The sequence below is a fragment of the Homo sapiens genome, chromosome 9, assembly GCF_000001405.40.
Source record: "Homo sapiens chromosome 9, GRCh38.p14 Primary Assembly".
NCBI lineage: Eukaryota > Metazoa > Chordata > Mammalia > Primates > Hominidae > Homo > Homo sapiens.
This window is the reverse complement of record NC_000009.12, coordinates 16456479-16469858: the sequence shown is the minus strand read 5'-3', so window position 1 is coordinate 16469858 and position 13380 is coordinate 16456479. Positions and strand designations below refer to the sequence as shown.

At 40.8% G+C, this 13380-nt stretch overlaps 1 protein-coding gene across 40 annotated transcripts in view, besides 1 other annotated feature; it reads left to right on the top strand.

Annotated features, from left to right (window-relative positions):
* BNC2 (basonuclin zinc finger protein 2) overlaps positions 1-13380 on the top strand; it is a 461168-nt gene that overhangs the window by 400812 nt on the left and 46976 nt on the right. The window lies entirely within an intron of this gene.
* Positions 9954-10033: an enhancer, noted in NCBI's record as "active region_28216". NCBI's record gives its function as "activates an Ori minimal core promoter by ATAC-STARR-seq in GM12878 lymphoblastoid cells {active_cell/tissue: GM12878}" and the evidence as "EXISTENCE:reporter gene assay evidence [ECO:0000049][PMID:35858748]".

The window sequence follows — 13380 nt, the reverse complement described above, 5'->3', positions numbered from 1 at the left end:
CTTTGCTAAAACATAACAAAAGTCACCTTTGCTCCAGTTCCCTTCAAGTTCCTCATCTTCATCTGAGACCACGTCATCTGAATTTTATTGTCCATATTGCTATCAGCATTTTGGGCAAAGCCATTCAACACATCTCTAGGAAGTTCCAAACTTCCACATTTTCCTGTCTGTTGAGCCCTCCAAACTGTTCCAGCCTCTGCCTGTTACCCAGTTCCTAAGTCGCTTTCACATTTTCGGGTGTCTTTTCAGCAACGCCCCACTCTACTGGTACCAATTTACTGTATTAGTTTGTTTTCATGTTGCTGATAAAGACATACCAGAGACTAGGAACAAAAAGAGGTTTAATTGGACTTACAGTTCCCCATGGCTAAGGAGGCCTCAGAATCATGGTGAGAGGCGAAAGCCACTGCTTACATAGTGACAGCAAGAGAAAAAATGAGGAAGAAGCAAAAGCAGAAACCCCTGAAAAACCCATCAAATCTCGTGAGGCTTCATCACTATCTCGAGAACAGCATGGGAAAGACCAGCCCCCATGATTCAGTTACCTCCCCCGGGTCCTTCCTACAACATGTGGGAATTCTGGGAGATACTACTCAAGTTGAGATTTTGGTGGGGACAGAGCCAAACCATATCAAATCATTAGTACTGTTTGAGAGCATGTTCACTTTTTCTGAGCTGCTTATTGCTGTAGGTGAAAGCAAGTTTTACTCCTTATAAACTAAAATTTAGTCATATACAGTACCTAGTTTGTTAGCAGTGTTTAAAATATAAAAAGCACACACAGGTATAAAGTATAATGTTCCATAGCACATAAGCTGAAAAGCTCATAATTAATTTTTAAAATCCAAGATTTTAACTAGATATATTCATTCAGCAAACATTTTCATTAGTTTTCTGTGAATATAAGAGTGAAAAGTTACTATCCCTGTTGTCATGCAAACTGACAATTGCAATGCTATGTGATATTTGTATTATTGGGGATATGGACAACTAGAGGTATATGAGTATGCACCTCAGTGTCACATTTGGGCCTAGATACCTCCTCTGCCTTCTGTTAGCTGTGTCACCTTGAATAACACTTTTAAGCCTCTTAAACCTCAGCTTGGAGATGATAATAGTACCTACCTTCTGGTGGTTGTTGGGGAAATTATTCAAGATACTGCATATAGTCCGGGTGTGGTGGCTCACACCTGTAATCCCAGCACTTTGGGAGGCCGAGGTGGGATCATGAGGTCAAGAGATCAAGACCATTCTGGCCAACGTGGTGAAACCTCGTCTCTACTAAAAATACAAAAAGTAGCCAGGCGTGGTGGTGCACGCCTGTAGTCCCAGCTATTCGGGAGGCTGAGGCGGGAGAGTTGCTTGAACCTGGGAGGCAGAGGTTGCAGTGAGCCGAGATCATGCCTCTGTACTCCAGCCTGGTGACAGAGCGAGACTCCATCTCAAAAAAATAAAAAATAAAAAAAAATAAAGATACTGCATATAAAATACCTAGCAGAATACTTGGTGGAAAACAAATGTTCAAAACATATTAGCTATTGTTATTGTAACTCTAGTAGCGAAAGGAGTCTCTAAGTGTGTCTTGGGCAGTCAAGGAAGACTTTGCAAAAGAGGTAGGTAGCATTCAAAGTGATGCTCAAGAAATGAGTGTAGGGCCAGGCATGGTGGCTCATGCCTATAATCCTAGCACTTTGGAGGGTCGAGGCAGGAAAATCACTTGAGCCCAGGAGGTCAAGGCTGCAGTGAGCCATGTTGGTGCCACTGCACTCCAGCCTGGGTGACAGGTGAGAACCTGTCTCAAAAAAAAAAAAAAAAAAAGAGAAAGAAAGAAATGAGATTAGGAGTTTTTCAGGAACACAGTAACAGAACAGCATCCACTCAAGGATAGAATTGGAAGAAGTGATAGCATGTTCCAGGATTTTGTGCATCAGTATTTCTGAAGCATAAGAACCTGGTCAGGCACCAGATCATGAGAGACCTTGTTATCCAGAAGATGGCATTTTTTTTTTTTTAATTTTTTTTTTTTATTATACTCTAAGTTTTAGGGTACATGTGCACATTGTGCAGGTTAGTTACATATGTATACATGTGCCATGCTGGTGCGCTGCACCCACTAACGTGTCATCTAGCATTAGGTATATCTCCCAATGCTATCCCTCCCCCCTCCCACGACCCCACCACAGTCCCCAGAGTGTGATATTCCCCTTCCTGTGTCCATGTGATCTCATTGTTCAGTTCCCACCTATGAGTGAGAATATGCGGTGTTTGGTTTTTTGTTCTTGCGATAGTTTACTGAGAATGATGGTTTCCAATTTCATCCATGTCCCTACAAAGGACATGAACTCATCATTTTTTATGGCTGCATAGTATTCCATGGTGTATATGTGCCACATTTTCTTAATCCAGTCTATCATTGTTGGACATTTGGGTTGGTTCCAAGTCTTTGCTATTGTGAATAGTGCCGCAATAAACATACGTGTGCCTGTGTCTCTATAGCAGCATGATTTATAGTCCTTTGGGTATATACCCAGTAATGGGATGGCTGGGTCAAATGGTATTTCTAGTTCTAGATCCCTGAGGAATCGCCACACTGACTTCCACAATGGTTGAACTAGTTTACAGTCCCACCAACAGTGTAAAAGTGTTCCTATTTCTCCACATCCTCTCCAGCACCTGTTGTTTCCTGACTTTTTAATGATTGCCATTCTAACTGGTGTGAGATGATATCTCATAGTGGTTTTGATTTGCATTTCTCTGATGGCCAGTGATGATGAGCATTTCTTCATGTGTTTTTTGGCTGCATAAATGTCTTCTTTTGAGAAGTGTCTGTTCATGTCCTTCGCCCACTTTTTGATGGGGTTGTTTGTTTTTTTCTTGTAAATTTGTTTGAGTTCATTGTAGATTCTGGATATTAGCCCTTTGTCAGATGAGTAGGTTGCGAAAATTTTCTCCCATGTTGTAGGTTGCCTGTTCACTCTGATGGTAGTTTCTTTTGCTGTGCAGAAGCTCTTTAGTTTAATTAGATCCCATTTGTCAATTTTGGCTTTTGTTGCCATTGCTTTTGGTGTTTTGGACATGAAGTCCTTGCCCACGCCTATGTCCTGAATGGTAATGCCTAGGTTTTCTTCTAGGGTTTTTATGGTTTTAGGTCTAACGTTTAAATCTTTAATCCATCTTGAATTGATTTTTGTATAAGGTATAAGGAAGGGATCCAGTTTCAGCTTTCTACATATGGCTAGCCAGTTTTCCCAGCACCATTTATTAAATAGGGAATCCTTTCCCCATTGCTTGTTTTTCTCAGGTTTGTCAAAGATCAGATAGTTGTAGATATGCGGCATTATTTCTGAGGGCTCTGTTCTGTTCCATTGATCTATATCTCTGTTTTGGTACCAGTACCATGCTGTTTTGGTTACTGTAGCCTTGTAGTATAGTTTGAAGTCAGGTAGTGTGATGCCTCCAGCTTTGTTCTTTTGGCTTAGGATTGACTTGGCGATGCGGGCTCTTTTTTGGTTCCATATGAACTTTAAAGTAGTTTTTTCCAATTCTGTGAAGAAAGTCATTGGTAGCTTGATGGGGATGGCATTGAATCTGTAAATTACCTTGGGCAGTATGGCCATTTTCACGATATTGATTCTTCCTACCCATGAGCATGGAATGTTCTTCCATTTGTTTGTGTCCTCTTTTATTTCCTTGAGCAGTGGTTTGTAGTTCTCCTTGAAGAGGTCCTTCACATCCCTTGTAAGTTGGATTCCTAGGTATTTTATTCTCTTTGAAGCAATTGTGAATGGGAGTTCACTCATGATTTGGCTCTCTGTTTGTCTGTTGTTGGTGTATAAGAATGCTTGTGATTTTTGTACATTGATTTTGTATCCTGAGACTTTGCTGAAGTTGCTTATCAGCTTAAGGAGATTTTGGGCTGAGACGATGGGGTTTTCTAGATAAACAGTCATGTCGTCTGCAAACAGGGACAATTTGACTTCCTCTTTTCCTAATTGAATACCCTTTATTTCCTTCTCCTGCCTGAATGCCCTGGCCAGAACCAGAAGAAGGCATTTTAATTGCATACTCTGTACCAGTCATCTCCTAAGTGGAACTTTTTTTAGATAGCTAATTTAGGCAGTTTATTGAGATATGTTAAGAAAGTGTTGAATTTCTGTTGATTTTTTTCCTTATCTTGTTATAATTTGTCTTATAATATTCATGTTATATGTGTAATATATTTATAAGGCATTAAATATTAGTATTGTAAGTACGTGTATGTAATTTGAACGTGATAGTCAACCAGTATACAATTGTGACCCAATAATTGTTTTTATGGCTGGTGTTTGTTCTAATCAGTAATGGCATGTTGGCATCTGTTCAGATTGATTGTTGCCTTGTTGCCTGGCCCTACCGGTTATTAACCCTTTTTTTTTTTTTTTTTTGGAGTTGGAGTCTCACTGTCGCCCAGGCTACAGTGTAGTTGCACAATCTCAGCTCATTGCAACCTCTGCCTTTTGGGTTCAAGCGATTCTCATGCCTAAGCCTCCATAGTAGCTGGGACTACAGGCGCCTGCCACCACACCTGGCTAATTTTTGTATTTTTAGTAGAGATGGGGTTTTGCCATGTTGGCCAGGCTGGTCTTGAACTGCCGACCTCAGATCATCCACCTGCCTTAGCCTCTCAAAGTGTTGGGATTACAGGCGTGAGCCGCCAGGCCTGGCCTTATTAACACATTTCAATCTTACTCCTGTAAATATACCAGAGTGGCACTGTGTGCTAATATTTTGTAACTGATCATGGGCCTGTTGACTACTCTTCTGGAAGACAGGGAGCCATTACAGAACTTTGGGCAAGAGAGTGAAATGATTAAAAGTCGTGTGTTAGAATTCACTGAATCATCCTGAGGGCTAAGTTAGCATTGGAAAGGCCATAGGAGGAGCTATCACTTCCTAATTTATTTAGGTGTAAGCATATAGATCATAGTTCAGTCACAGACATCACCCATCTTGATGGAAGACTTATGAAAGAAGAACATGATTAGTTTTAACTTTTTCAGGATTAATAAGTAGAAAGGATAGGAGATGAATTTTGAAAAAACCATTGCATCACATCATATAATGATATAGTTACCATCTCTGCTAAAATACAAAAATTAGCCAGGCGTGGTGGCAGGCACCTGTAGTCACAGCTACTATGGAGGCTGAGGCATGAGAATTGCTTGAACCCGAGACAAAAATTAAAGACTGTTCTTTCAAAATATTCTGAGAAGAAAGGAAAGTAGATATGTTTAGGAAATATTTAATCTTATATTAATTATTTAATCTTATCAGTCTGCAAAGAGATGCCCCTCCCTGTCTTTGTTCTTTGTCTTCATGTATGATGTGCTAGTTATTTAATATTGTGTCTCTTTTGTGCTTCGGATCCTGAATGACCTCAGCTGAAGTTTCTTCCCTTCTTCCAGGTTTGTTTGATACTTAAATATTAAGTATTTAAATATTAAAAAATAATATGGGTAATATTTAATCTTAATCCTAATGACCTGAATGGCAAAGACACTGTACTCTTGGAGCAGATGTCCAGACATTGGCCTGTGTGCCATGCCAGTCCTGTGCAGATTGTCTGAACATCAGCCTGGAGAGAAAATGAATAAATACATTTTTAACAATTATTTATTTATTTGAGGATCTTAAAGAGTTGTTAGCTATTATTAGGGTCTACTACTAGCTCCTCCCATTTTAAATCATTTATATTTGTCTTCTTTCTTTTTTTTTTTTTTTTTTTGGAGACAGGGTCTTGCCCTGTCTCCTAGGCTGGAGTTCGGTAGCACAATCTTGGCTCACTGTAACCTCTGCCTTCCAGGTTCAAGCAATTCTCTTGTTTCAGCCTCAAGTAGCTGGGATTACAGGTGTGCACCACCAAGCCTGGCCAATTTTTGTATTTTAAGTAGAGACAAGGTTTCGCCATGTTGGCCCAGGTGGTCTCAAACACCTAACCTCAAGTGATCTGCCTGCCTTGGCCTCCCGAAGTGCTGGGATTACAGACATGAGCCACCGGGCCTCCCAAAGTGCTGGGATTACAGACGTGAACCACCATGCCTGACCCTATTTTTGTCTTTTTCAGTTGTGAATTTTGTAGTTGGAGGAGGAATTAGAAAATAATCTCCTATCATTGTTAATATGTAACCGTCATTTGCAACAAATGGAAATTTAATTCTGTTTTTGTCAGTGCGGTGAGATAGCATCAAGTATACCCTTCATTTGGATAGATTAGTCAAGAATTTGGCCGGGCGCGGTGGCTCACGCCTGTAGTCCCAGCACTTTGGGAGGCCGAGGCGGGCGGATCACGAGGTCAGGAGATTGAGACCATCCTGGCTAAAACGGTGAAACCCCGTCTCTACTAAAAATACAAAAAATTAGCCGGGCGTAGTGGCGGGCGCCTGTAGTCCCAGCTACTTGGGAGGCTGAGGCAGGAGAATGGCGTGAACCCGGGAGGCGGAGCTTGCAGTGAGCCGAGATCCCGCCACTGCACTCCAGCCTGGGCGACAGAGCGAGACTCCGTCTCAAAAAAAAAAAAAAAAAAAAGAATTTAATACTTGTATGCTCACAGTGGCAAATTTTCAGCATAGTCATTTTTGTTAACTTTCCAAAATGTTGTCAGAACGTGCTGTCATTCACTCTCATTCAATCTCCTGAAAGTTAACTCCTGTCTCATTTTCTGTGAGATGATCCATGTTTCCTGTTACACACACAGTCAGTACACTCTTAGTGTACTAGTCTCCCTGCACACCTTTCAGAACAACATTGCTTTCAGTAGTAAAAATGGAAAGAGAGAGGCCAGTGGAGTAATGTGAGGAAAGAAGGAAATGGGTGGGCTGCGGGGGAAATGATCAGTTCCCCAGAAATGGTCGGTTCTGGAGAAGGAAGAGGATAGTTCTAAAATTTGGGCATAAAACTAGGACATCAAACAAGCCTGGATGAAGGGAAGAAACTTCAGCTGGGGTCATTCAGGATCTGGAGCACAAAAGAGACATAATATTAAATAACTAGAACATCATACACAAAAACAAAGAACAGAAAGAGGGAGGGGCATCTCTTTGTCAAAGGAGGACAATGTGAAGACCAGGAACAAGCAGGAATGGAGAAAATGATCTGGTCTTTGGATCTGTGTTGCAGACTGATGATAGGTTCTGTCTCCCCCGCCATTTCCATTGTGGAAGAGGTATGATGTAGCTGGAAGAAACTTGATAAAGTATCCTACAAGTAAAGCCCTTCGTGTGTGCCTTTGCCACTTTCCATTATGTGGAGTTTTTTCCTGGTGTTAGATAGGGCTTTTTTTCTCTTACTTTTCTCCAAACTTTGTCTTTTGGCTCTTCGTGTTAATCATTTTGCCAGCAGGAGTTACAAGATTTGGTTTTGGTTTCCACTTTACACCAGTTTACACTTAAAGGCAAACATTTAATTCAAGCTTTGGAGAAGGTAGAGAAGGTATAGGCATAGGTGCTTTATCTCAATATAAAAGTTGGGGGCAGAATCTCAGGAGATGGCTCCTGAGCTGTTCTTAGATGTATCACTTTATTAATTCTTACAATAAAGCCAAATTGAATTGATGTCGGCATGTCATGTTCTAACTGGCTTTAATAATTTTTTTCTTTGGCTGGTGGATGGAGATGGTTTTGAGTTATAAAAAAGTAAAGAACGTGAGTGAGGAAATCCTGGGTTAGCTCAGAGACAGCAGGAGGATTTCTGAGAGAGTGGCTGAGGAAAAAGCAATCCATAGACTTGCCAATGGACACTCATTAAATGTTAATAGGAACTGCATGTGATGAAAGGCAGGCGGCTCTGGATTCATCTTGTAACTGTATGTCTACAACTGGAGGTGTGTGAATGAAATCAAGGAAAGGCATTAAAGAAATTATTTGTTAGGAAGCAGAAGCAAGAGTTTGTTTACTTTCATACTAAAGAGAACACTACCAGCATTTGTGAACTGCATGCACATGAGAAGTGAGCAGGCTTCCAGCTCAGTGGCAGGTGCAAGATGATGTTAGAAACAAAATAACTCTTATACTTGAATAAATTCACAAGAAGGTTGTGAGTCCCTGACACAGTAGGTATGTAAAACCACGTAGCTGACATCAAGGCCTGTTGCACTTTTGTAACCTCCTTGAATCACTGGAGCGAGCAGTCCCTGGTGATGCAGCGTGTTGCAGGGCTCTGTGCCTTGATAGGGAGTTGCACCTGTGATACCCGAAACCTCCTTACAAACTCCCCCCGCCACCCCCCACCACGTTGTCCTGGATCATTGGAATGCAGGCGCTGGATTGAAACGTTTATTCATAGTAGATTAAGAGTCTAAGTATCTGTGAGGCCTCACTTAGGAGGCTCTTAGAGGATTAATAAAATATTTACAAAATAACCTATGCAATTGCTTCATTTTAAAGATATTTGCCTCTTATCACAGCATAAATCCTCATTCAAGTGGCTTCTCTGTTCTGTGAAGGAAGTTCTGTACTTGTTCTTCTGGAGAAGCAGAAACAGATTCCTGCCATACTTTAATTAAAAACATGGAAGCGCCTGGTTTCTCCACACGTGCACATTCTTGTTCTTACACACACAGCCCCAACAAAGAGATCAACAGAGGGATATAAAATGATCATTTTTGAAAAAGACTTACTGATTCAAGTGAGCGGCATTCACATGTAAAATGTTCCGAAAATTTATTCTGTTATTTATGATAAAGAATCTTATCCCTGCATGTTTTACCTATAACCAAGAGAGCCTCAATTGATCAAAGTATAGTTTTTCTAGTAATTAAAAATGAATATTGATGTAATTAAAAATGTTATCCTTAAAAGTCTATTATGGTACTTACTGTATACTATCTTGTCTGCCGTCTTGGTAGATCAAGTTGTACAGTCATATTTCTAGATGTAGGATCAAGATTTCAGTTAATCCTTGGGTTTATGCTAAGGCCACAAGTATGTATTATCTGTATGAACAACCATTTATGGAGTGCCTGCCATATGCCTAGAATTCCGTGAGGCCTTTCACGAGTACTGCTGTGTCATTTAATTCAATCCTGATAATAACGCTAAAAATCAGGGATTTCTCATCTTGTTTTACACCTGGGTAACTGAGGCTCAGGGTAGTCAACGCAGATCATAGTAAGTAAAAGACTCGGTGTTGAAGCACCGCTCTGTGACTCCATGCCTCATATAATAGAGGATTGCATTGTATTTTGTTTTGGTTTGGGTTTTTTGATAGAATCTCACCCTGTCACACAGGCTAGAGTGCAGCGGCATGATCTCGGTTCACTGCCACCTTTGCCTCCCGAGTACAAGTGATTCTTGTGTCTCCACCCCCTGAGTAACTGGGATTACAGGCTTGCACCATCACACCTGGCTAATTTTTGTATTTTTAGTAGAGACGGGGTTTCACCATGTTGGCCAGGCTGGTCTCGAACTGCTGGCCTCAAGCAATCCACCCGCCTTGGCCTCCCAAAGTGTTAGGATTACAGGCATGAGCCACTGTGCCCGGCCTTATTTTGTTTTGACTTTTTTTTTTTTTCTGTTCCGTTTTACCTCCACTTATTTCCAAGAAGGGAGAATTTCAGGGTTGTTAGAACCAGAGCTTAATCCTTTTTTCCTGATGGCCAGTGCTTTGTAATAACAGTGATCTTTTACTGAATTTCCCTTCAATGATGTACTATTGCTCTTGTTGTCTTGCTGCCTTTTAAATTATGACTTCTCTATATTATAACTTAAAGTTGGTACTTTGATAATTGTTATCAACTTTAATAAAATATGTATTAGATGACTTAAAATTTACCAGAAATCTGTATTAAAATAGTCTTTAGGGCAAACAAAAAATTACCTGACAACAGTCTACTCACTTGCACGTGCGCTTTCCCTCTCTAGGTAATAAGATGGAAATATTTTTACCTCTTTCATTTTCTTTCTCAAAGCCGTTTCAGAAAGGGATAATGTAGCTGGCAGCTGTGGCCATAGGAAGTCTGTGCAATCTGTGGTTTATATACATGAAAAATATATGCCAAAATATATGCATTTACTATGGTTTTTTTTCTTTTTATTTGTTGATAAGGTGCATAAGCCCCAACTTTCCACTAGACTAACTTGTGATTAATTGGGACATCTTTGTTCTCTCCAATGTGGGATCTAAAAACCAGCCTCCGTCTTCACTGTATGGCAGTGCAGCTGCTGTTTGCATGCTGTTTTCTTTGTTGCTATGTGTGTGGGTGCCTCAGGCCCAAGTCCTGAGTCCCCATTCTCCTGCCGTGTATTGCTTGTGTTTCTGTGGAGAATTGTAATGTTCTTGGATCAGGGACTTTTACAAATAGGTGTGTTCTTCCTAGTTGGCTTGGAGTGATCAAAGACCACCATGTTTCATTTTGCCCAGAGCCTTCGAATCCCACCCACCACCCTCAGTAAAATCCTTTGCAGAGAGCTTTACCCTAAAGACACAGAAAACAAATGCAACACCTGTGACCCTAAGAGCATTACTTACAAAGGCCTGGAAACTCCCTGAATGCTGTTTATAAAGTACACCCTCAGTTGTGTTTCTTGTTTCCTTTCTAGCTACATGTGAGCATGAAACTCTTTTGTAGAGGTGCAGGAAGGTCATGCTATAGGAGAACGTGATTGCACGTGTTAGAATGCATGCTAGGACACAGGCCGATTCATGACACTGAATTCTGACTCATCCTAAGGGAGAGGAAATGCATGTATATGGATGTGTTTTGGCTTCTATTTAACTCTATAATTGTTTCTTTTTTCCCTTAAATAAGGATTTCTTCTTGATTAATGGTGTTATTCACAAGAGACTGTAGGGTTTCTGTACTTGCTTCACCCTTGTGAAGGGGAAGGAATGTGTTTTCTTTTGCCATGTCCCTCCTCAACAGGGGTGCTCTTATTAAAACCAGGAAACTAAACAGAAGGACGGTGCATGTATTTGCTCATTGTTCTCTCCTCGTGCTGGACTTGAGCTGAAATGTGGTTTCAGGGCTTCATGTGTGCACTGAGTGATGGAGTAATTAAGTGAGGTAAATGCATATGAAGTGCTTGTTCCCTTGGTGCCCGGCACATAGTGAGTGCTTAGTAAACAGTAGTTGTTACTTTTCATTGGAGCCAAATGTATATCACACCTCCCTTTCTGTAATACATATTTATGATAGCCCATTAGTTAAGTCTGAAGGTCAGTGTGTTCTTGCCATAGGGCTGTAGGAAATGTTTTTTGTACACTTCTACATGTAGTTGGCGGATTGTTTTTTAAAAATGCTACCTACATTGTTTTCCTCTCCCTAAATTATCTCATGACTCTAGCAGATTGCTATAAATAAGTAGGGTATATCATATTTGTAGGCCAAGAATTGACAACCCAGTTTCAGACAACAATGAAGATTTTCTACCCTATTTGAATACAAAATCAAAACCAAGATATTTGTTAATATCCCAATATTGATTTTTGTTATTAGAAGTAAATTTTAGAAGTAAATGTTGAAAAGGACCACAAAAGCTGCTTTTCCAGCCTCTAATGGACCAGCAGCCTCTTTTGGGAAATGATTAGTTGCATCTTCCAATAAATAACTTTTGATATATTAAATACTCATTTGATGGCTGCTCTCTAAAGGAAATGAAGCTAGCATGGTCCCTTGGCTTCCATGAGCCTTAATCTCATGTATCTGTTATTGCACAGTTTATAATGGTAGGGGTTTTCCCCCTTAGGACTGACTATGTTTTCAGTAATGTTATTTTTTTTTAACTCAACCTAACTGGACACCGTAGAGGGCACTAATAAATCACACCTCTCTGTGCTCAAATAAAGACAGACATTCTACCTCTTTCTCCCACCTACCCACCCATTCCTGGATCGAGCAACAGAACTGAGCTTAAGGCCACCTAGAGCCACCATCACAGAATCTCTCTTTATGTTGGATGGCAGTGGGGATGCAGATCTGAAACACTAGTGCATCTGAAACAACAATGGGAAGGTGTGGAAAAAAGGGTTAGCAGGCCTGAGACTGCCCTCTTTAGGGAGGCCTGCTTGCCAGGTTGGCCCTTGGCTGGCATCCAGGAACTTGGATTTTGGGAGTATTCCCACCATTTCCTCACCTGATGAAAGAGTGGCTCATTGCTTCTACACTGTAAATAATATGCTTTATGCCGAACACGCGCTTTCCTTCTGGGAATCTGGAATTTTGGTCCATGCTAGGCAAAGCATGCCTACGTGACCACTCCCACAAAAACTGTGGGCACTGAGTTGCAAATGAGCTTCCCTTGTAGACAGCACCTCACACCTGTTGTCACAATTTAATGCTGGAGAAATTACATGCATCCTATGTGACTCCTCTGGGAGCACCACTGGAAGCGTGCACTTGGTTTCCCCTGGAGTTTGCTCCATGCATGTTGCCCTGTGCTGATGCTGCTTTGTATCCCATCACTGTAGTGAGTCTTAGGTGTGCGTATGACCACGTGCTGAGTCCTGTGAGTCTCGCAATCCTGGGACTGATCTTAGGGACCTGGACCCCCAACACAGGTCCCTAAGTAAGTTAGTCCCCCCAAAACTAACTTACATAAGATTCCATATGAGGAGAAAAGTCAGAAATTCAGAAGGTGTGCCTGAAAATTTTTTCTATTGACACCCCTTGTTCCATATGATCTTCTTCCTAAGGACTACTTCATTTTGTCATTGAGTTTAGTCAGTGAATATTTTTGGAATATAATGTAATCAGGTAGGCACTTCTTGCATATTTACATATTACTGCAAATTCATTTATTGTTCTCCACTACCATTAGAACTGAGGGATAAAGGAGAGAGACATAACACAATGTTCGTTCTCTTTGTCTCTCTCTCTCCCCACCACATATACTCACACATTTTCCCTGCTTTCTACTATTGAATAATTAGAAACCAGTACTAACTAGAATTCTTCTTACTGATAAAGTGACAGTTGACCCTCATATGGAAATTCTTTATGAGTTAACAAATTAAAATAAAAATTACCTGAAATTAGAGTTAAATTTTTTGATGTTTTTTACAATATTCCACCACTGTCCCACTTCTTGGATATTTATCTAGAATATGTCTTTCCCTACCCTACCGACAGATAATTTGCTAGAGTTTTTCATGTCTATCTCCATTTTCAAGGACTCTTTAGTTGCTTCCTTATCAGGACAAGAAAGAAGCAGAAGTGCTGCTAGGAAATATCTGCCAGAGCATTTGGGGAGAAAGTACAGGACAGAGACTGGATGCAGGAGTGGCTGCTGGCCACCAGTGACTTTACCTGCTGCTCTTGGCCTGGTAGGACTCTGATTTTTTTTTTTTTTTTTTTTGAGACGGAGTCTTGCTCTGTCTCCCAGGCTGGAATGCAGTGGTGTGATCTCG